This window comes from Homo sapiens, chromosome 4 (assembly GCF_000001405.40).
Source record: "Homo sapiens chromosome 4, GRCh38.p14 Primary Assembly".
NCBI classification, from domain to species: Eukaryota; Metazoa; Chordata; class Mammalia; order Primates; family Hominidae; genus Homo; species Homo sapiens.
This window is the reverse complement of record NC_000004.12, coordinates 17300108-17323878: the sequence shown is the minus strand read 5'-3', so window position 1 is coordinate 17323878 and position 23771 is coordinate 17300108. Positions and strand designations below refer to the sequence as shown.

The following is a 23771-nucleotide window of genomic DNA, read 5'->3' as shown; positions in this document are numbered from 1 at the left end:
CCTTGCCCTCGGCGTGCAAGGAAAAAAAATGTCTTTTCTGCCAGAAGTGTTGTATAAACATCCTTTTCCTACGATCCTGGATCCTGATCCTCTAGCTCCAGGACCCAGAGGAGCGTGGGGAAAGTATCTTAATGTAGACAGATTTCGAACTCCTGCTGTCCCTTTTCAGATCGTAAATTACCGTTAATGCTGTTTATACTCTTCCCCCTTCCTCTCTTAATAGTTTTAGAAACAGTAATTGACAACAAAATAGAGCCGCAAAGGGTGTAAGGGAGCCCTGCTTGGCTGGCTGAGAAGCAGCCAACTAAGTATCTGTTCATCATGTACGTCTCTGCAACAGAAGTAAAAGATTTACCCACACAGGTGCCCTTCCTTGCTTTCCTTTCGTCATTTTGCTGTGATGGAGCAGGGTACATCTCAATTTCAATTAACTGGAAAGAGAAAAGTTGCGTGTGTTTGCGTGCTTTTTGTCCACCCTGCTCCCTGTACGGGAGGCTGTACAAAGCTGGTGTGGGCTATGGAGCCTGGGGAGGAAGCTGCTCAGAAGTGGATCCCAGGATCTCTGTGGTTCTCTCTGCCCGGGTGTTGTCTTGTTTTGGGGTGCACGGTCCTCGGAAGCAGTTTCCTAAGACAATTCCAGCATGAGGAATATGCCCAGGCTTGAAGTTGGTGAGAGCTGGATTTAAATCCTAGATCAACCCACTTATTTAGCTGTCAACTTAACCTCTTAGAGTCTCAGTGTTCTCCTCTGTAAAATGGGGATAATACAGGTTGAATACCCCTCATCCAAAAATCCAAAACCCGAAATGCTTCAAAATGCAAAACTTTTGGATTTCACATCCAAACTTTTGCCATTGAATGCTGACACAATGTTCAAAGGAAATACCCATTGGAACATTTCAGATTTTGGATTCTCGGAGTAAAGATGCTGAACGCATAAGTATAATGCAAGTATTCCAAAATTAGAAAAAATATCTGAATTCCAAAATACTTCTGGTCCCAAGCATTTTGGATAAGGGATACTCAACCTGTAACAATATTCCCCTAAGGGAGTGGTTTGGAAGATTAAATAAAGCTGTGTTTGTAGAAAAAGTGACTGAGGCCTAGCAAGACATCCATGAATGCCTTTTCTTTTTTCAAAACCTCTTGACTTGTGCTGTCCAAGGTGGTAGTCACATGGGGCTATTGAGCACTTGAAGTCTGGCTACTTGAAACTGACAAGTTCTGTAAGTAGAGAATACACACCAGATATCAAAGACTTAGTAGAGAAAGAAAATAATGCAAAACATCTCATTAATAATGTTTTATACTGATTACATACTGAAATTTTAATACATTGCAAATATTGGATAAAATATATTCTAAAAGTTAATTTTACCTTTTTTAACTTTAAAAAATGTGGCCACTAGAAAATTCAGAATTGGATATGTAGCTTGTATTTGTGGCTCACATTATGTTTCTCTTGGGCTGTGCTTCTGTAGTTTCTCTTTTACTCACCTTCTATTCAAATTCTTTCCTTCTCTTAAGGCCTAGCTCAAGCTTTGCTGTCTTTTTGGGTCCTTTGGGTCAATCTCTCCCTTCCCTAAAATCTCCTAGGGGTTTTGTCATGGAGAGACAGTCACATAATGTGTATTTGTGGGCTGAATTTAAGCAGGAAAAACATATAAAGTGTTTAGCCCAGTGTCTGGCACATCACAAACAAAATAGTATGATTCATTTTTTTTTTTTTTGAGATTACCATTGGAGTCTGGCTACCTAGTTCAGAGCCGGTTTTTTTGCTGCCTTGCATCCTTCTCATGTGTTTAGTCTCTCTTCCTTGTGTGTTTAGTCTTGTTGAATATGCCTGTGAGGACAGAGAACCCGTCTATTTTTCCTGGGTTTGTTCTTAACCCACGAGGCAGCTCTAGCACAATGGATTCTCCCCTATGATTATTCACGGACAAAGCCAGCGCCTGTTGACTAAGCTGTCATCTTGGAGTCATTTGCCATTCTTTCCATTCTTTCCTTCATTCCACAGGTATTTGTTCTTCTTGGGATGCTTTTTCACCACTCTTTTCTTCATTGAGCTAACTCTTTTGCATCCTGAAAACAGTAATCGAGGTCAACATGTATAGCACTCACTATATATTCACCCTATTCTAAGTAGTTTATGTATATGAATAAAGTTCATCCTCACAACTGCCCTGTAGGGCGAGTATTGTCATTTAACTCATCCTTCAGATGAGGAACCTGAAACACAGAAATTAAGTAACTCATCCAAGGCCACACAGCTAGTGAGAGGTGGGGGCTGGATTCAAATCCAGTACTACAGTCCCAGAAACCATAGTACTCTGAATCACCAGGCTCGAAGTCATCGTCACCAGAAGCCCTTCTGGAACACTGCTCCTAAATTTTCAACATACCACTTGGCCCTTCCATCACACCCAGCCCCATGTGAGTATCTGTCATAGGCCTTATCCCATATGATTACAATCCCTGGTTTCCTCTTCAGTTCCCCTCATTGCCCTGTGATCTCCCTGAGGATCTCAGTGAATCCCGGTGAAAGAAGGAACATGGCTTTAGGCTGCAGGGGACAGATTCTCCCAGAATCCAAAGACATGAGACTTAAAGAAGGTCTTCCTCTTTCATGTCATCAAACTGTTCATTTTTTTCCATACCTCTTTTAGCAATCTGTAACCGTCTTGTTTGTTTTCATTTACTTGATTTAAAAATAAAATAAAATAAAAAAAAACTTTTCCTTCCCCCAAGAATGAAGGCAGAGAATTTATCTGTCTTGTTTGCTGCTTTACTTCAGTGCCCGGCACAGAATGTATATTCAGTAAATATGTGTCAGGTGAGTAAATGAATGAATGAATTTATTGTGTTTCTGTTATGGGCCAGGTACTGTGTAGACACCATGGTTCTTGCCTTCACAAGGTTAACAAGTTTATGGAGGGTGATGGGGAAGATGGCAAGAGGCAGTAACTATATAGAAATGGAGAAAGAACAGGGAGCTTGGCTTCTCATTGAGCTCCTTTCTGTCCATTGATGGCAGTTGATGGATTTGCATGAGAAGAAGAGAGAATTCACAGAACTAGCGTTATTTTACTTTCTGTCTTTACAGAGGTATATTTGGCTGTTTTGTGAGACATTCTGGGAAGAAAAAACAAACAAACAAAAGAACAGGGAGTTTGGAGAACCAAAAAGAAGAAGGATTTAGCATTGGGTGAGGGGAAGTCCAGAAAGGGTTTCTGCAGAAAGTGACAACTAAGAGACCTGAAACATAGTTGGGAGATGACCAAGCAGAAGACAAAGGAAAGAGCTGAGTAAGGAAGGAGAAGAGAGATGTTTCAGATAGAGGGAAGGAGAGGTAGGAAAGGCCTGGCAATCTGGTTATTTTCAGGCCTCTTGGGTGCAAATGGTAGAAGGGAGGAGCTTCATGAATTTTGAGCACCTTGATGTCCAAGCCATGGCAGAATTGGACTTCCCTTCATGTATTCCTTTTTCCACCCCCCACCAGCTGTCTTTGTTGCCTTCATTGTTCCCAAAGCCTCCTTTTCATCCTTGTTTATTCCTGGCTGGAATAGGTTCAGTGGAACCATATTCCTCCGACAGTTTGCATTGCTTCACTTGCTCAGGAGCCGGTAGCACTGCCAGCTGCCTCTGGGACCGGAATTTCTTACATTTATCTCATGAGCTATACTTTTCTGTCTATTTTTGCATGTTATCCTTTGATCCTCGCAGCAACTGTGTGAGTTCTCTCAATTCTTAGCCTAAACCTAAAACGTGTCTATTCTCAGCCTCTTACTCCCATTCCACTGCGATTCTCTTAAGTGTACTACTCTTCCTTCCTCTTCCCTACACAGATGCTTGAATCTGCCAAGAAATTTGCTTCCCTTTCTCTCTCTATGTATATCATTTAAGAACCCCTAAGCCAAAAACACACCATCTGATGAATACTTAGAGAGGCCAGTAGGGTACAGTATTTATACTCAGATCTATACTTTTGATCTGTTCTGGGAGGTCAAAGATATTTGGTCTTAGATTTCATACTTTGTGTGTTTCCTTTGTTTTTGAGACTGTCTAGGTCTATTCTGTCTTTGGACAGCTTGGACTACTTAGACTTTTCTTTTCAGAGTGAGTTTTGATGTGTCTGCTCGTGGGGTCCAACCATTGGTCCTAGTTCTACAGTTAGGTCCAGGAGGGCAGAATAGCTGAGTAGCTACATGCATCTGAATCTTGGCTTGCCACTTCCTGCCAGCTTTGGGAGGCTATCAAGACCCTCTGCTTTCTGTGTGTCAGCCACTCCTCTGTAAAATGAGGCAAATGGTAAATATGCAAACTCACTGAATGTTAGCTGTTATCATCGTCATTATTATTACTCCTTGTGGCTATAGTGAACAAGAGAAGTGTAGGCTTAGAATGGCCCGGTGTAGTGTACCTGGAGCTCACACTTTATGAAATGCTAATTTTACTCACCTCAGCAAAAGGGAAGAAATACTCTTAAGTCAAATGCATGCTGTTCCAGGTTATTTATCTTAAGAGATTTGATATTATCACTCTGATAGTGAAGCTTTAATTGATGCAGCATACTTTCTTCAAGAAGCTACAATCTTTCCCTAAATTCTTAAGATTATATGACAATATAATCTTGTCATATATGACAAGACACAAATCTTGTCTTGTGTTTGTAGATAAAAGACATAACTGATGGCAGCTGTCTTTTATATTATTTTTAACTGACACATAATAATTGTACATATTTATGGAGTACAGTGTGATATTTCAATACATGTATACAATGTAGAATATCCAAATTAGGATAATTAGCATATCCATCACCTCCAACATTTATCATTTCTTTGAGATGGGAACATTCAAAACCTGCTCTTCTAGCTATTTAAAAATATATGATAAATTATTGTTTTTGATTATAGTCACCCTACAGTGCTCTAGTACACTAGAAGTTGTTCATCTTATCTAGCTGCACTTTGGATCCATTAACCAACCATTGGCCATTCCCTCTTCCCCCCATGGCAGTGGCTCTCTTTTCGCCAGCAGGAGGGGATGCCAGCATGGGTGGCCTTATCCCCTGGGCATGTTCTCTCTGGATAACGGCCTTGAGTGGGAACTTGCATCTCACCTGTGAGCTGCCATTGACATCCATTGGTGAGGCCAACAGCATATCCACCAGTAGCAAAGAATTATTCTTTGGGAAGCACACAGTGGGGAGACAGAGGAAGCAGGACTATTGCCAGCAGGAGAATGGGTGAAGGGAATCCATCCAAGTAACCCTCCCCTCCACGTGCCACAACTGGGGATCTTTTGGAAAGACAGTGAGTGAGCTGGTGTGTGGCAATCAGAAATGGGGGGGGTGTCCTGGAAGGGGAGCCCAGGAGCCCAAGAGACAGGCCACGTAGCTACCCATGTATGAGTTGGGAGCAGTATGAACATTTTATTGAGATCCGAACCTATCACTACTGTATCCTAGCCATTTTGGATTTTTTTTTTTTTTTTAAAGGAGGAAATGAAGGAGAAAGAGAATGGATTTTCCTTCCTTTCCGGGCAGAGATCTCAAAGCACACAAATTGAAACAAATGAGTAAATATATTTCCTTTAAACTACAGTATAGTTCGACTTGATGCATTCAGAATGTAAGCAATGTCATCTCCTGATTCTTTTGTTATGAAAGGAACCTGAATTCAAGATGACAACTGATCTGTGAGGCTTTAGCCAGAGGAAGTTAAGCTGGACAAACAAACCTGGATACTGCCAGTCTACTTGTTAAAAAATTATTTTCTGATTCTGGTTTCTATTCAGCTGTTGGGCAAAACACATGCATAATTAAGAACTTCACCTTTGACAGTTTATCTCTTTTTTTTTAACAGAAATAGGAATTTTCCATTTTCATATAGTAATATCAAGATACCCTGCTACATTGAATCCACCAGTAGGTTTTGAAAATAAGCATAAGAAGCCATATAAAAATAAGAAAATCCACTTTTAGGGTTTTAGATTCATGCCGTTTAATTGTTCGTCTATTTCCATGATAAGGTGAGACTGGTCTTGTGTCACCGGAGGGACTATATCCTGCTGTTTTTTTCTCATCCTCATTTACAATGATTATGTTATCAGGCTGGCCAGGCAAAAGGGTGGAGCAACTATAATTTCAAAGCAGGATTAGGTTGAAATAACGAGGTCACCAAGTTGTGGTTACCAAGGCAACGTCACATCTAAGAATATGGGATGCTTCTAGGAGATGAGGCAAAGCCTGGAGCATTTCTCTCCCCCTTGTGCAAAAATCACCCACTTCCTAGATAAAAATTGCTTATTAATTGCTTTTGAACATATTTTATTCTTTATTTTTAGGAACCAGTTTATAAATTATAACCTGATTTACAGTTCCATTTTTAAACTAGTAATACATATCAGAATAATCGTTGTTTTCTCCTCCCTTTTTGGATTCACATGTACTTTTTTCAAGTTTCATTCTCTCCTTCATCCTTTCCTCTCTTTCTTCCTCTCTTCCTCCATTCCTTCCTTCCTTCCCTCCTTTCTTCCTTCTTTCATTTCTGTTTTAATATTGCAGGAAAAAGCCATGGAACAAAAAAGAGGAAATTGAGAGTTGGGTGCTCCCTTGTTCAGACCTTGAGATGACAAAATTGTGATAAGTGACAGAAGCTGTAACCTACACCCACAATACTCATTTGACCCCTTAAAAACTACTGAGCACAAGAGAGAATAACCTTGGTCTTCATTGTTGTTTCTTAAAATTTCAACCCACCTTTACAATTGTGGACTATGGAGGTAAAGCAGGAAAGAGGGAGAAGACCCACAGTCTGTTTCTGATCAATATCAGCTATCAGTCCAAATAATTCCCACCAATTACCTCTTTTTTCCTCTGTATTCATTTCTGTATCTGAGTTTTTCAGATGATAGCTTCAAGTTTCTTCATTTTATAAAAAGCAGGCTTCTTTTAATATGGGCTTGTGTTTGTGAAGCACGGATTTTACATAGGTCTCTTTTTAAAAAGAATATTTCTGACCTAGTGTTGAATCACTGGACATGGTACAGTGTGATTGGAACCCTCAGATTCCTTTGCATTACAACATGACTGCTCTTTAGGATATGTTAACTATTCACCTTTTGCCCTGGCTTTGCATAAAGAATTTGAAGTGTGCTTAAAACCATGCCAGTGTACAGTATTTTCCATCTCCTGGAAATCTATGTCAAAGGAGTCTCATTGCCTTGAGAATGTGTTTAGTTTTCAGCCTGGGAGGATGGAAACCATACAGGCTCTAGAGCCCACCAGATCTGGGTTTGAGGCACTGCTGTGTGACCATGGACAGGTAAAGTCACATCTCTGACTATCTTCACAGGGCAGTTTGAGGACAGAATGAGATATCATGGAAACAGCTCTTAGCTCAACGTCTGATGTGTATGTAGCTCGGGCCTCAAAATGAATCTCCTAATTCAAAAATAATAAAGATGTATATGAAGTTAATCTTTATCTTTGCAGTCTCGCTCCCTCCCTATCTTTTCCCTCTTTATCCTTGGAATAGTTTTTATAAAATGCAAATCAGATTATATTGTGTCCTCGCTGTACTGGGTTAAATTGGGTCCCTCCAAAATTCACTTCCATGTGGAACCTGGGAATATGACTTTTTGGAAATAGGGTCTTTTTGGATGTAATCAACTTAATAATAAAGTCATAGTGGATCATGGTGGCTCTGAAATTCACTGTGACTGGTGGTTTTACAAGAGAGAGATTTGGACAGAGATACCTACAGAGAGAAGGCCATCTGATGACAGAGGGAGGGTTTGGAGTGATGTGTCTATAAGTCAAGGAACACCAAAGATTGCTGACAGCCAGCAGAAGCTAGGAAGAGGCTAGGAGGGATTCTCCTCTCGAGCTTTCAGAGGGAGCACGGCCCTCACCATACCTTTGTTTCAGACTTCTGGCCCTCAGGACTATTAGAAAATGCTTTTCTGTTGTATTAAGCCACTTGGTTTGTGGTTAATTTGTTACAGTGGCCCTAGGAGATTAACACACCTGCTTAAAATCCTGCTGTGGTTCTTCCTGTCATTAAAGTGAGGTCCAGGGTCCTCAACCTTGCTCAAGTCCCCTAGGATCTGCTCCCTGGTGGTATCCCCATTCATTTATCTGAACTTGAGGCTCCATTGGTCCTGACAGCTTTCAATCTGCCAGGTAGAGCTCTGTTTTACCCTTGAGGTGGCACCATCTGCCCATCTCTTCTTAGAACATGCTCTCTCACCAGTCACCTGGTTAACTAGAGGTATCAGCTAAATGTCCTTTCCTCAGAGGTCTTTCCAATACATAGATTGTGTAAGCATCCCTTCAAGTACTCTTACAATGCTCTTCAACATTTCTCCAGTTACTTAGTAGGAAGGTTGGTCTTTCCTGCTAGACTCTAAGCTCAAAGAGGTAACAACGAATTCCTTTTCTTGCTCACTGCTGTGTTCCTGTGTCCCAGCATGGCATCTGGCATTGTGCATGCCCACGGTTAGTATGAATTGAATGGTGCAATGAATGAATGACCGAGGAAATAACTGTTTGGCATATGGTTAAAACTCTTAGTAAGATTTGGTGAGATGTTGAAATCCTGCCGATAGATTCAGAGATAAATTAATTGCTAATTTGCAATTTGAGTTGATTACCATTAGCCAAAAGTGATAGTGATTTTGACTGGTTTCATGAAATACAGAACCAAAGCCCTCCCCCTTCCCATTTGATTGTCTATGTTTAACTAAAAATTAATATATGCTCATTGTAAAAAATTAAAATATTTCAGCCTGGGCAACCTTATCTCTACAAAAAATGCAAAATTTAGCCAGGTGTGGTGGTGTACCCCTGTAGTCCCAGCTACTAGGGAGGCTGAGGTGGGAGGATTGTTTGAACCCAGGAGGCTGAGGCTGCAGTGAGCCATAAGCATGCCACTGCACTCCAGCCTGAATGACAGAACAAGGCTCTGTCTAAAAAAAAAAAATTAAAGTTCAATGAACAGTAAGTTTTCCTTACATGTCGGAACCATGTCTCCCACTGCCTTCCTTAGAAGCAACAACTATGACTTTCTTTTGTAGCCAAGTAGAGATATTTTAAGCATACAAAATGCATATTATACACAATGTTTTGCAGTTTGCTTTGTTCATTTAAAATATACCATAGAGGCCGGGCATGGTGGCTCACGCCTGTAATCCCATCACTTTGGGAGGCTGAGGTGGGCAGATCACGAGGTCAGGAGATCGAGACCATCCTGGCTAACGTGGTGAAACCCCATCTCTACGAAAAATACAAAAAATTAGCCGGGCGTGGTGGCAGGCGCCTATAGTCCCAGCTACTCGGGAGGCTGGAGCAGGAGAATGGCGTGAACCCGGGAGGCGGAGCTTGCAGTGAGCCGAGATGGCGCCACTGCGCTCCAGCCTGGGCAACAGAGTGAGACTCTGTCTTAAAATGCACCATAGAATTTATTTTATATTGGCATGCATAGATAGATCTCATTCTTTTTTATTGGCTGCAAGATCCTCTATTTTGTTCATGTTCCATGATTTATTTAAGTAGCCCACTAATGTTAGAGATTTACATAGTTTCCCATCTTTTGATATTAGAAACAAAGCCCCAATAAACTGTATTTTTGTGAGACTATAACTGTAGGATAACTTTTTAAAGGTGGCATTGCTATGCGCTTAAAAACGTTATATGGTCAGACTCTAACCCAACCATAAATATATTAGAAGTGACCAATTGCAGAAAGAGAATAACTTTGATAGAAAAAAATTAAAGGTATAAAGAGTGCATGAAGTAGCTATTTGGTGGATTATTACAGATTAACTTTTTGTCTTAGATCTGCCTATTTCTTTTTTTTATGTGGGCCAACAGGGTCTAAAGAAAATGGCTGTTAAGCAAGAGAACCAATAGCTCAGTTAAAAAATGGGCAAAGGACCTGAATAGACATTTTTCAAAAGAAGACATACAAATGGCCAATGGGCATTTGAAAAAATGCTCAGCATCACTAATCATCAGGGAAATGCAAATTAAACCATAATGAGATATCACCTAACACCTGTTAGAAGTGCTATGATCAAAAAGACAAAAGATAACAAGTATTGGCAAGGATGTGGAGAAAAGGGAACCCTTGTATACTGTCAGTGGGAATGTAAATTAGTATAGCCTCTATGGAAAAGAGCATTGAGGTTCCTCAAAAAATTAAAAATAAAACTACCATATGACCCAGCAATTTCACTACTGAATATATATTCAAAGGAAATGAAATTAGTATGTTGATGAGATATCTGCACTCCTGTGTTCATTGCAGTATTATTCACAATGGAAAGACATGGAAACAACCTAAGTGTCCATTGATGGATGAATGGATAAAGGAAATGAGGTATAAATACACGCTGGAATACTATTCAGCCTTAAAAACAAAGGATGTCCTGTCATTGTGACACCATGGATGAACTGGAGGACATTATACTAAATGAAACAAGCCAGGCACAGAAAGACAAATACTGCGTGATCTCACATATGTGGAATCTAAAATGTCCAACTCATAGAAGCTGCCAGCAGAATGGTGGTTGCCAGGACTTGGAGTGGGAGATAAGGAGATATTGGTGAAGTGTTACAAAGTTTCAGGTAGACAGGATGAATAAGTTCTGGAGATCTATTGTACAGCATGGTGACTATACTTAATAATACTGTCTTGTATACTTGAAAATTGCTAAGAGAATAGCTCTAAAATGTTCTCAGTGCAAAAAATAAGTATGTGAGTTGATGCGTATGTTAGTTAGCTTGATTTAAACATTTTACAATGTACACGTATGTCAGAACGTCACATTGTACACTGTAAATATGTACAATTTTCATTTTTCAATTATACCTTAATAAATCTGGAAAAAGAAAAGAGAGAAAAAGCCTTCTAGACAAATTCTGAAATTATGATTCTAATTATTATTATTTTCTTTTATCAGCTATATGGCTAATTTTGATATTGGCTAGATTTTTAATGTAGCATATTAAAGAGGAGAATCAAATTAGTTTAAAAAAGGAGTACTGGCTCAAAACAATTTTGCATTATTAAAAACTAAGCACAAGCAATATCTTGCTTGAATTTCAGAAAGATTTAGTAATTATTTTGAGTTTACTATGCTAATCAGGAGTATGTGTGTCAAAATCCTTTAAAAAAACAGGACATTGGCCAGGTGTGGTGGCTCATGCCTGTAATCCCAGCACTTTGGGAGGCCGAGGTGGGTGGATCATGAGGTGAGGAGATGGAGACCATCCTGGCCAACATGGTGAAATCCCGTCTCTACTAAAAATACAAAAATTAGCCAGGCATGGTGGGGTGTGCCTATAGTCCCAGCTAATGAGGAGGCTGAGGCAGGAGAATAGCTTGAACCCGGGAGGCAGAGGTTGCAGTGAGCTGAGATCATGTCATTGTACTCCAGCCTGGGGTCAGAGAGAGACTCCGTCTCAAAACAAACAGACAAACAAACAACACCAAAAAAACCAGGACATCAACAGAATTGGAAAATTCACAGAACCAAGATTCAAAATACCCAACACAATTTTGAAGACTCAAGATATTTGTAAATCAGAGGATGAAGGAACTGATCCCGAAAAATTAAGACATATTGCAGTGTTCTTGGAGATAGGGGGAATATGCCCATAGAAAAATGGCTAGTTTTCAGGACTAGGAGTGCTAGGAATTTATTTCAATATTCATTGATTAAGCACTCATGATATGTACAGTTTTAGAGTAGAAGAGAGATGACTTTCAACCAGAAGGTGCTGGAACTTGTAATTGAAGACAACTATTTGTAAGGACAAGGAATGTTTTATTCTTTCAAATTCCTACTGAATAAAAAGAAATATAAATTACTAAAAATCATTTTTACCTTAAATGTGTGGCTAACCTTTAACCCAGTAATTCCGTATTTATAAATTTATCCTAAAGGAGACAACCTTGAATATACCCTTGCTCCCCTCAGAAAGGAAAAAAGAGACAAAGATAGATAGACACACCTGCACATGCACATATTATATGTGTGTATATATAGTATATATACATATATACATCTATATATGTGTATGTGTGTGTGTGTGTGTATATATATATATATATATATATATATATATATATATAGAGAGAGAGAGAGAGAGAGAGAGAGAGAGAGAGAGAAATAGGGAAACAGAGAAAGGGTGGATCCCCCTTGCGTTGCCTCTTGGAGATCTGAGTAACCTCTTATGTCTTGTTGTTTGGTTCCTGCTTCCTGTTTCTTTTCATGCAGCTTCCGTTTTTTAAAAAATTTCAATTTCAACTTTTTAATTTTAGAGTCGGGGCTACATGTGCAGGTTTGTTGCCTGGGTATATTTTGTGATTCTGAGTTTTGGGGTATGATTGATTCCATCACCCAGGTAGTGAGTGTAGTACCCAATTGTTAGTTTTTCAACACTTGCCCCTCTTCCTCCCTTTCCCCTTTAGTAGTCCCCAGTGTCTATTGTTCCCATCTTTGTGTCCGTAAGTACCCAAAGTTTAGCTCCCACTTATAAGTGAGACATGATATTTGGTTTTCTGTTCCTGCATTAGTTCACTGAGGATAATGGCTTCCAGCTCCATCTAACTTGCTGCAAAAGACATTATTTCATTTCCTTTTATGGCTGAGTAGTATTCCATAGTGTATATAGACTGTATTTTCTTTATCCAATCCACTGTTGATGGGCATCTGGATTGATTCCATGTCTTTGCTATTGTGAACAGTATGGTGATAAACATATGAGTGTATGCATGTGTCTTTTTGTTAGAATGATTTATTTTTTTTTTAATTTCAATAGTTTTTGGGGAACAGGTGGTGTTTGGTTACATGGATGAGTTCTTTAGTGGTGATTTCGAAGATTTTGGTGCACCCATCACCCAAGCAGTGTACACTCTACCCAATGTGTAGTCTTTTATCCTTCACCCACCTCCTGCACTTCCCCTTGAGTCCCCAAAGTCCACTGTATCATTCTTATGCCTTTGTGTCCTCATAGCTTAGGTCTCACTTATAAGTGAGAACATATGATCTTTGGTTTTCCATTCCTGAGTTACTTCATTTAGAATAATGGTCTCCAGCTCTATCCAGATTGCTGCAAATACCATTATTTCATTCCTTTTTATGGCTAAGTGGTATTCCATTATATATATATATATATATCACATGATTTATTTTTTTTTGGATATATATATCCAGTAATGGGATTGCTGGGTCAAATGTTCTCTTTTTAGTTCTTTGAATAATCTCCAAACTGCTTTTCACAGTGGCTGAGCTAATTTACATTTTCACCAACAGTGTATAAGCATTCCCCTTTCCTTGCAGCCTCACCAACATCTGTTGTTTTCTGACTTTTTAATAATAGCCATTTTGAGTGGCATGAGATGGTAGGTATCTCATTGTGGTTTTGGTTTTCAGTTCTCTGATGACTAACGATGTTGAGCATTTTTTCATGTGTTTGTTGGCTACTTGTATGTCTTCTTTTGAGAAGTATCTATTCTTTTGCCCACTTTTTAATAAGGTTATTTGTTTTTTTTACTTGTTGAGTTGTTTAAATTCCTTATAGATTCTGAATATAGACCATTGTGAGCTGCACAGTTTGCAACTATTTTCTCCCATTCTGTAGGTTGTCTATTTACTCTGTTGGTAGTTTCTTTTGATGTTCAGAAGCCCTTTAGTTTAATTAGGTCTCACTTGTCATTTTTTGTTTTTGTTGCAATTGCTTTTGAGGACTCAGTCAGAATTTTTTTCTCAAGTCTGATTGTTCAGATTGGTATTTCCTGTTTTATTTTTCTAAAATTTTCAGTCTGAGGTTTTACATTTAAATCTTTAATCCATCTTGAGTTAATTCAGTTTCTTACATGTCTTTCAGATATGGGATCTAGCCTCTTCATCTATTCTGGGGTAAAAACACACACACACACACACACAAACAACCCAACAAAAGTGTTATTTAAGAGACAAGATTTGTGGGGACATATTCCCTGCACTGTTCTGTTCTCCTGGATTGGTTTGGTCACCATGTCACTAGGGATCCTCTCCTGACCTGTCCCCACTCAGCACCTACCACCACATCCTGCCCTTGCCTGTTTCTCTGTCTCTCTCTCTTTCTCTCTCTCCCTCTCATCTCTCCTCCATGCTATGTCTTTCACTCTGCCTCTCTAGAACAATGAGAAAATTCATCTTCTTGTTTCAGTAAGTGCAGTAAACGCTTTCTTGAAGTTTTGGGGGCCAGTTGCCATATACCCCTTGGAATCTCAGTGTAACCCCAAGCTCTTAATAAGGGATTTCCCCTTAAAGTTTTTCTCCTAAGAGAAATTTTGACACTATGCATTTGAATAATATTTTATTTTTTTATGCCTCTCTATTTTTAGTAAATATTTGAAAACAATCTAAATGGTCATGAGCAGAAGAATGGCTAGATAAATTTTTATCATAACCTAGATTGACTACTATGCAGTCCTAAAATTATATTTACAAAGATATTCATTCTTCAATTCATGTATTCATTTATTAAGTATGTACTGAGGGCCTATTATGTTTTGAGAGCTATGTTGGTCATGTGAACAAGAGGGACAAAATCCCTGTTATAATCTAACAGGGAGAACAAATGTAAAACTAATATTTTTACATTAACTGATGAAGTGTGGTTTTGATAAGTGCTATAATGAGCAGTAGCAGGTGCTAGGAAATTGTAGAAGGGAACCAGAATTGAACTAGAGAAAGTAAACTTTTAAGGTGGTGTCTGAAGCTCAGTTATCTAGGCAAGGAGGCAGTAAGTGGTAGTGGGGGCGAATTCCAGCAGAGGGAACAGCATTTGTGAAGACCCTGGTGTGGAAAGAAACGGACTGAGTTCAAGGAACAGAAAGAGGGTCAATGAGGCTGGAGTGTGCAGAGCAAAGCAGGGATGACATTAAGTGCAGCTGGAGAAGGTGCCAGGGTCAGAACATGCAGAGCCTTATGGACACATTACCAAATTTGGACTTTTGTCTTAAAAATAGAGGAAAGACATTGATGGTTTTAAGCAACAGGATTACATGAGATTTGAGTGTTTTTTTTTTTGTTGTTGTTGTTTGTTTTGTTTTCTTTTGTTTTGTTTTCTTAACACAGTCTTGCTCTGTCACCCAGGCTGGAGGTGAGATCCTGGCTCACTGCAACCCCTGCCTCCTGGGTTCAAGCAATTCTTGTGCCTCAGCCTCTCAAGTGGTTGGGATTATAGGCATGTGCCACCATGCCTGGCTAATTTTTGTATTTTTAGTGGAGATAGGATTTTGTCATGTTGGCCAGGCTGGTCTTGAACTCCTGGCCCCAAGTGATCTGCCCGTCGCTGCCTCCCAAAGTGCTGGGATTACAGGTGTGAGCCACCGTGCCCAGATGAGATTTGAATTTTAAAAGATCATTCTTGCTGCAGTGTAGAATCAAATGTTAAAGACCAAGAGTATACATAACAGAACCAATTAAAGAGTTACTGAAGGTGTTCTGGCAAGAGATGCTGGTGGGTTAAGCTAGTGCCTCTCAGCCAGAGGTAGTTTTAACCCTCAGTATGCAACCCACACTTTTTGACAATAGATGGAGACTTTTTTTCTGAAATTAATCTAATGACTCCAGCTTTCTTTGACTAATGTTAACAGGATATATTTTTCTCTACCACTTTTCTTTTAACCTGTCTGTGCCTTTGTGTTTAAAATGAGTTTCTTGTAGACAATAAGGTCTTTTTTTATCATTTTTTTAAAAAAACAATTACAATCTCTGTCCTTTAATTGGCATGTTTAAGCCAATTTATATGTAAAGTGATAATTGATATAGTTGAATTACTGTCTGCCATGTTTATCATCATTTTCTTTTTGTTGTACTTTTTTTTGTTTCTTTTTTCTTCTCTTTTTCTGCCTTCTCTGGTTTTAATTGAACATTTTATACCATTCCATTTTCTCTCCACTCATAACTTATCAATTATACTTCAATTGTACTAAAACTTTTTTGTAGTAGCTGGCCTAGCGTTTGCAGTACACATTTACAATGCACCTAAGTCTCTTTTAAGTAACTCTATATTGCTTCATAGGTAACATAGGTATCATATAACAGCACACTCTCAATTTCTCTCTCCCATCCTATAGCATTGCTTTCACTCATTTCACGTATGCATATCCTATAATCACACAACACATTGTTATTACTTTGAACAGTTTTCTATTTGATCAGTTAAGAATAAGAAAAAATAGTTCCAGGTCTTACATTTCAGTCTTTAATCCATCTTGAATTAATTTTTGTATATGGTGAGAGATAAGGCTCCAATTTCATTCTTTTGCATATGGCTATCCAATTTTCCCAGTACCGTTTAATGAGTAATATGTCCTTTCCTCATTGTATAGTTTTGTCAACTTTGTTGAGGATCAGTTGGTGGTAAGTATGTGGCTTTATTTTTGGGTTCTATATTCTGTTCCATTGATCTATGTGTCTATTTTTATACCACTACCATGCTGTTTTGGTTACTATAGCCTTGTAGTATAATTTGAAGTTAGGTAATGTGATGTCTCTAGCTTTTTTCTTTTTGCTTAAGACTGCTTTGGCTATTTGGGCTCTTTTTTGGTTTTGTATGAATTTTAGAATGATATTTTCTAATTCTGTGAAAAAAACATTGGCTGTTTGATAGGTATTGCATTGAATCTGTATATTGCTTTGGGAAATATGGTTGTTTTTAATATTATTGATTCTTCCACTCCATAAGCATGATATATTTTTCCATTTGTTTCTGTCATCTATGATTTCTTTCATCAGTTTTTTTTTGTAGTTCTCTTTGTAGAGATCTCTTACCTAGTTTTTTTTTTGTGGTTATTGTAAAGAGATGAACTCCTGATTTGGTTCTCAGCTTGAACATTATTGACGTATAGAAATGCTACTGATTTTTGTATCCTGTTGATTTTCTGTCCTGAAACTTTACTTCAGTAATTTATCAAGTCTAGTAGTCTTTTGGAGGGGTCTTTATGTTTGTCTGTGTATAAGGTCATGTCATCAGTGACCAGAGATAATTTGATTTTCTCTTTTCCAATTTCGATGCCTTTTATTTCTTTCTCTTGCCTGATTGCTCTGGCTAGACTGGAAACTATAAAAATCCTATAAGAAAATCTAGGAAAAACTCTTCAGGACATTGGCCTAGGCAAAGAATTTATGACTAAGACCTCAAAAGCGAATGCAACGAAAACAAAAATAGACAAATGAGACTTCATTAAACTAAAAAGCTACTGCACAGCAAAGGAAATAATCAACAGAGTAAACACACAAGCTACAGAATGGGAGAAAATACTTCCAAACTATGTATCTGATAAAGGACAAACATCCAGAATATACAAGAAACTCAACTCAATGAGAAAAAAACAAATAACTCCATTAAAAAGTGGGCAAAGGACATGACAAACATTTATCAGAAGAAGGCATACAAGTTCTCAAAAATATATAAAAACAACATCACCAATTATCAGATAAATGCAAATCAAAACCACAATGAGATGCCATCTCATACCAGCCAGAATTGGCTGTTATTATAATTTATTTTATTTTAAGTCCCTGGATACATATGCAGGATGTGCAGGTTTGCTACATAGTTAATTGTGGGCCATGGTGGTTTGCTGCACCTATCAACCCATCAGCTAGGTATTAAGCCCTCCATGTGTTAGCTGTTTATCCTGATGCTCTCCATCCTCCTGCACCTTACCGCCTACAGGCCCCAGTATGTGTTTCCCTCTCTGTGCCCATGTCTTCTCATTGTTCAGCTCCCACTTAAAAGTGAGAACATGCAGTGTTTGGTTTTCTGTTCCTGCATTAGTTGCTGAGGATAATGGCTTCTGGCTCCCTCCATGTCCCCGCAAAAGACATAGTCTCATTCCTTTTTGTGGCTGCATAGTATTCCATGGTGTATATGTAGCACATTTTCTTTATCCAGTCTATCATTGATGGGAATTTGGGTTGACTCCATGTCTTTGCTATTGTGAATAGTGCTGCAATGAACATACGCATGCATGTATCTTTATAATAGAATGATTTATATTCCTTTGGGTATATGTTCAGTAATGGAATTGCTAGGCCAAATGGTATTTCTGGCTTTAGGTCTTTGAGGAATTGCCACACTGTCTTCCACAATGATTGAACTAATTTACATTCCCACTAAGACTGTAAAAGCATTGCTTTTCTCCACAGCCTCGCCAGCATCTGTTGTTTCTTGACTCTTTAATAATGGCCACAGAGTCAAAAAACAGCAGATGCTGGCGAAGATGCAGAGGAGAGGGAATGCTTATACCCTGTTGGTGGGAATGTAAATTAGTACAACCTCTATGGAAAGCAGTATGAAGATTTTTCAATGAACTAAAAATAGAGTTAACATTTGATCCAGCGACTCTAGTATTGAATATCTACCTAAAGGAAAAATATTATATATATATATGTTTATTGCAGCACTATTCACAATAACAAAGTCATAGAATCCACCTAAGTGTCCACCAATGGTGGATTAGATAAAGAAACTTTAATATATATAGACAATGGAATGCTATGCAGTCACAAAAAAGAATGAAATCATGTCTTTTGCAGCAACGTGGAGGAAGCCGGAGTTCATTATTCTAGGTGAAATAACTCGGAAACAGAAAATCAACTACTGCATGTTCTCATTCATAAGTGGGAGCTAAACAGTGGGTACACATGGACATACAAAAGGAAATAATAGACACTGGAGACTCCAAAAGGGGAGAGGTGGGGGTGGTTGAGGGTTGAGAAATTACCTATTGGGTACAATGTTTACTATTCAGGTGATGGGTACACTAGAAGCCCAAACTCCACCAGTAGGCAATATATCCATATAACAAACCACCATGTGCATGCCCTGATTCTATTTAAAAAAAGAATAAGAAAATAATCAAAGATTTTACATTACCTTAATTTATTCCTTTTCTGGCTCCTTTCCTTTCTTTATGTAGAGCTGAGGTTTTGATTATTATAATTTTCCTTCTCCCTAAGAACTTCTTTTCATATTTCATGGAGGACCAGTTTGCTGGCAATGAATTTCCCAAGTTTTTGCTTGCCTGAGAAAATATTTATTTCTTCTTCACTTTGGAAGGATAATTTTGCTGGGTGTAGTATTCTAGGGTTTTTTTTTTTTTTTTTTAACATTTTAAGTATTTCAATCCACTCTGCTTTTGCTTGCATGGTTTCTGACAAGAAACATGTTGTAATTCTTGTCCTTTTTTTTACTCTCTGTATTCTTTCAAAATGTTCTGTTTGTCTTTGGTTTTCTTCAATGTTCCTATCATATGCCCAAGTGTAGACATTTTAGTATTTATCCTACTTTGTGTTCTCTGTGCTTCCTGGATCTGTGGTTTACTGTCTGTCGTTAATTTTGGAATGTTCTTGGCCATTATTATTTTAACTATTTCTCTCTTTTCTTTCTGGTATACAATTGTGTGCATGTTACACCTTTAGAAATTGCCAACAATTCCTGGATATTCTGTTCTGTTTTCAAATTCTTTTTTTTTTTTTGTATTTCAGTTTGGGAAGAAGTTTCTATTGACATATCTTGAAAGTCACTGATTTGTTCCTTGGCTGTGTCTAGTCTATTGATGAGCCATCAAAAAGCCATTCTTCATTTCTGTTCCAATGTTTTTGATTTCTGGCCTTTCTGTTTGATAATTTCTTAGAGATTCTATCATTGTGTTTATATTACCCATTTGTTCTTGTATGCTGCCTACGTTTTCCATTAGATTCCTTAACATATTAATTACAGTTATTTTAAATTTCCTGTCTGACAATGCCAAAATCTGTGTCATATCTGAGTCTGTTTCTCATGCTTGCTTTGTCTCTTCAGATGGTGTTTTTTCTTGTGTTTTGTCATGCTTTGCAATTTTTTATTGGAAGCTGGATGTAATATATCAGGTAATAGGCACTGAGGCAAACAGGCCTTTAGTATTAGGTTTTATATTTATCTGGCTGGGATCTTGGCTCTATGTAATGTTTGCTGTAGCTGAAGGCAAAAGGGCTTCAAATTCCTCTAGTGTCCTTGTTTTAATCTTTCCTCTTGTCTTTGGCGTTCTCTAAATGTTATTCTTAAATAGAGTTTGTACCTGTGTCCGCTTTAATCTTGTACCTGTATGAGTTTTAATCCACTCTTATTATACTGAAGTCCTGTTGATGGGCTAGTAAGAAGTGAGGGAGGGGAGGCATTCTATAATTCAAATCAAATCTCAATATTTTTCTGGGCTTGTGTCTCTGGGCTGTGACCTTCATAAGTGTTTCTTATCTCCCCCTGCTGCCCACCTCCCTTAGGTGAGACAGGAAGGTTAGAAGGGGCTGGGGTTAGGTAATTTTGTCCCCCTGGATAAGATAAGGCTCTGAAAAAGTTTTTTACTTGGGAGAGAAGGTTTTTGTTATGTAGAATGCACTGCATATATTTCAAAATGATTATAATATCTAGGACAGCCCCCTCCAAGGAAGAATTTTCTGGCCTCAAATATCAATGGTGCCAATGTTGAGAAATGCTTGTCTAGGGTGACGAAAATAGAACAGGAGAAAAGCAAATGTGTTTGAGATATATTTAGAAGGTAGAATTGATTAAGACTTACTGATACACCGAATGTTGGAGGAGGGGGAATGAATGACAAAGATGACTCCCTGGTGTCTGGCTTAACTTGCTGGCAGATACCATTATCAAGAAAGGAATGCTAGAGGAAGAGCATGTTTGGAGTGGGGAAGTACAAGTAAGCTTTCCAATAACACACGGAAAGGTCTAAATGAAAACATTTGGGTAAAAGTTTTCTATGTATTATTATGTTAAACATAAAGAAAACAAAGTCTCATGAATAGAGAAGAGACTGGTTAGGTTAAAATACTCTCTGTGTGTGTGTGTGTGTGTATGTCCACGTGTGTGTGTGTGCACACATGTACATGTGTTTTAATGTTTAGGTCTGAGTAAACTTAAAATAATTTTATTTATGTGAAACTATTACTGGTACTAATACTAATACTGAAGGGACTCAACAATATTAAATGTGTTTGTTTTTGAGCAGTGGAACTGATAATTTTTTTTTTTTTTGAGATGGAGTCTCACTCTGTTGCCCAGACTGGAGTGCAGTGGCATGTTCTCCACTCACTGCAAACTCTGCCTCCCAGATTCAAGTGATTCTCCTGCATCAGCCTCCTGAGTAGCTGGGATTATAGGTGCCCACCATCACACCTGGCTAATTTTTGTAATTTTAGTAGAGACGGGGTTTCACCATGTTGGCCAGGCGGGTCTTGAACTCCTGACCTCAAGTGCTCCCCCTGCCTTGGCCTCCCAAAGTGCTGGGACTACAGACATGAGCCACTGTGCCTGGCCAACTTTTTAAAAGCCTGACTTTTATTTTTTAATATCAAGTATGTATTTGGTATTATATATCCCAACTTGACTTGCAGTATACAGATTAGGTTAATACAATCTCACCTCTGTGTGTGTGTGTGTTTCCACGTGTGCGTGTGCATACATGTGTACATGTGTTTTAATGTTTAGGTCTGAGTAAACTTAAAAGAATTTTGCTTATGTGAAACTATTACTGGTGCTAATACTGTTAATAGCTAACACTGAGTCTTTAGTATGAGCCCAACCTTATGCTAAGTACTTTATATGGAATAATTTTTTGTGGCAACAGCAAAATGACCATAGTACAACTAATACTTTGATAATCATTAGAGATATTCCACTGAGATCTGCTTCTTCTTCCCCTCTGGGCACACGGTCGGATTGTACTTTCTTAGCCCCAGTGGTTAGATGAGGTCATGTCACTACTGTGGCCAATGAGTTTTGAGTGAATGAGACACTTTCATTCTGGATATTTAATTGCTGGTGCAAGACCTTCCAGGCTCTCTTTCCCTCTGACATGACAACCAACGGCATTCAAGATAGTGGCTGCTGTGACCCTGGGTCCTTGAGTGACCTGATTAGCAGAAATCCCTTGTTGATCTATTCAGTCTGTCGTATGAAGAAAAAATACATTTCAATTGTTTTAAGCCACTGAAACACTGAGGTTGTTTGTTAACATAGCACATCCTGACTTATCCTGACTACTACAAATATCTACTGGACTCTTGCTATGCCCTAGGAACTTAGAAAGTGCTTTGCATTTATTCTCTCACTTTGTTTTCATAGCACCTCTGTGAAGTAGGTATTATTATTGTTTTCATTTTTAGATAAGGAAACTAGACACAGAATAAATAACTTGCCAATGTAACAAGTTAGTGTCAAAGCTGGGATTCAAGCCCAGGCAATCTGGCTCAACTAAGCCACCCCTTTCTATGGGACATTGTGCAAAATATTTAAGGCTGAAAAAAAAAAAAAAGAATGAACTATGGCTCTGCCTTTGAGAGTATTCTCAGTTCATCTTGGAAAAACAAGATACATATTTATAAAGACTTAACTGACAATTAGGCACAAGGCATCGTATAAATGCCAAAGGAAAGACATTGTCAGCATGTATGTTGACAGCAGAATTCAGAAGGAGAGATGACTTAAAGTTTTGGGAATAGAAGAAAGCTTCCTGCATGTGGGAACTGAGCATTGGAGAGAATTTAAGTGAGCAGAAATTTTAGTTGAAAGTCTTAAGAAATATAAGTTCTAAGAGGACATGGAGTATGCTTTCTACTCTCTCTGCATACTTGTCAACATTTCTGAACATTGCAGGAATTAAATAAGTCATAAGAATCCCCTACAAATTAAATTTTCTAAGCAGGTTAATATTTCCCACTGTCTGTTGAGCATCAGTGCTTGACTTCCCTTTGGCATTTCAAAATCATTCTTTCCAAACCTGATTTTTCTTTATTAATGATGTTAATTTCCACCCAACTATACAAGACAAAAAATCTTGACATTATTTATTTCTCCTTTCCTCCTTTATTTTCCCTATTTGATCATGCAGTTTTTTTTTTTTTTTTTTTTTTTTTGAGATGGAGTTTCACTCTTGTCGCCTAGGCTGGAGTACAGTAGTGCAATCTCGGCTCACTGCAACCTCTACCTTCTGGGTTCAAGTGATTCTCCTGCCTCAGCCTCCCAAGTAGGTGGGATTACAGGTGCTCACCACCACGCCCAGCTAATTTTTGTATTTTTAGTAGAGACGGGGTTTCACCATGTTGGCCAGGCTGGTCTTAAACTGCTGACCTCAGGTGATCCACCTGCCCTGGCCTCCCAAAGTGTTGGGATTACAGGTGCGAGCCACCACGCCCGGCCAATATCTTCTACAATTCTAAATCAGGGTCATTTTTCTGAATTAGTCCTTTTGACTTGTTCGTGATGCTACTCTTTTAGTTCAGGCCAGCATTGTGTCTTACCTAGACAACTACGAAAGCTCCCATAAATGTTTTTCTCTCCTTTCCCTCATCTTCACATAATTCCTAAAGATCCAGTCTTACTTTACGGCTCTCCTGATTTAATATTTCCGCTGGCTTTCCACTTTATCCCTAGGATAAATCCATATGCCTTCCCCTAGTATCTCAGTCTGTGTGCTGTAATAAAATACTACAGACTAGGTGATTTAAAAAGAACAGTTCTGGAGGTGGGAAGTCCAAGATCAAGGTGCAGGCAGATTTGGCGTCTGGTGAGGGCACAGTCTCTGCTTCTGAGATGGTGCCTTGAACACTGTATCCTTACATGGTGGAAGACGGAAGGGCAAGAAAAGCCTAAGCTACTTCCCTCCAGCCCTTTTATAAGGCACTAGTTCATTCATGAGGGTGAAACT

At 38.6% G+C, this 23771-nt stretch overlaps 1 non-coding gene across 1 annotated transcript; it reads left to right on the top strand.

The window, feature by feature from the left end:
• The first annotated feature begins 2996 nt into the window (after positions 1–2996).
• Positions 2997–3133, top strand: SNORA75B (small nucleolar RNA, H/ACA box 75B). Its single transcript, NR_145770.1, has one exon. It is a non-coding gene; the product is annotated as a small nucleolar RNA, H/ACA box 75B (small nucleolar RNA).
• Positions 3134–23771: the final 20638 nt, after the last annotated feature.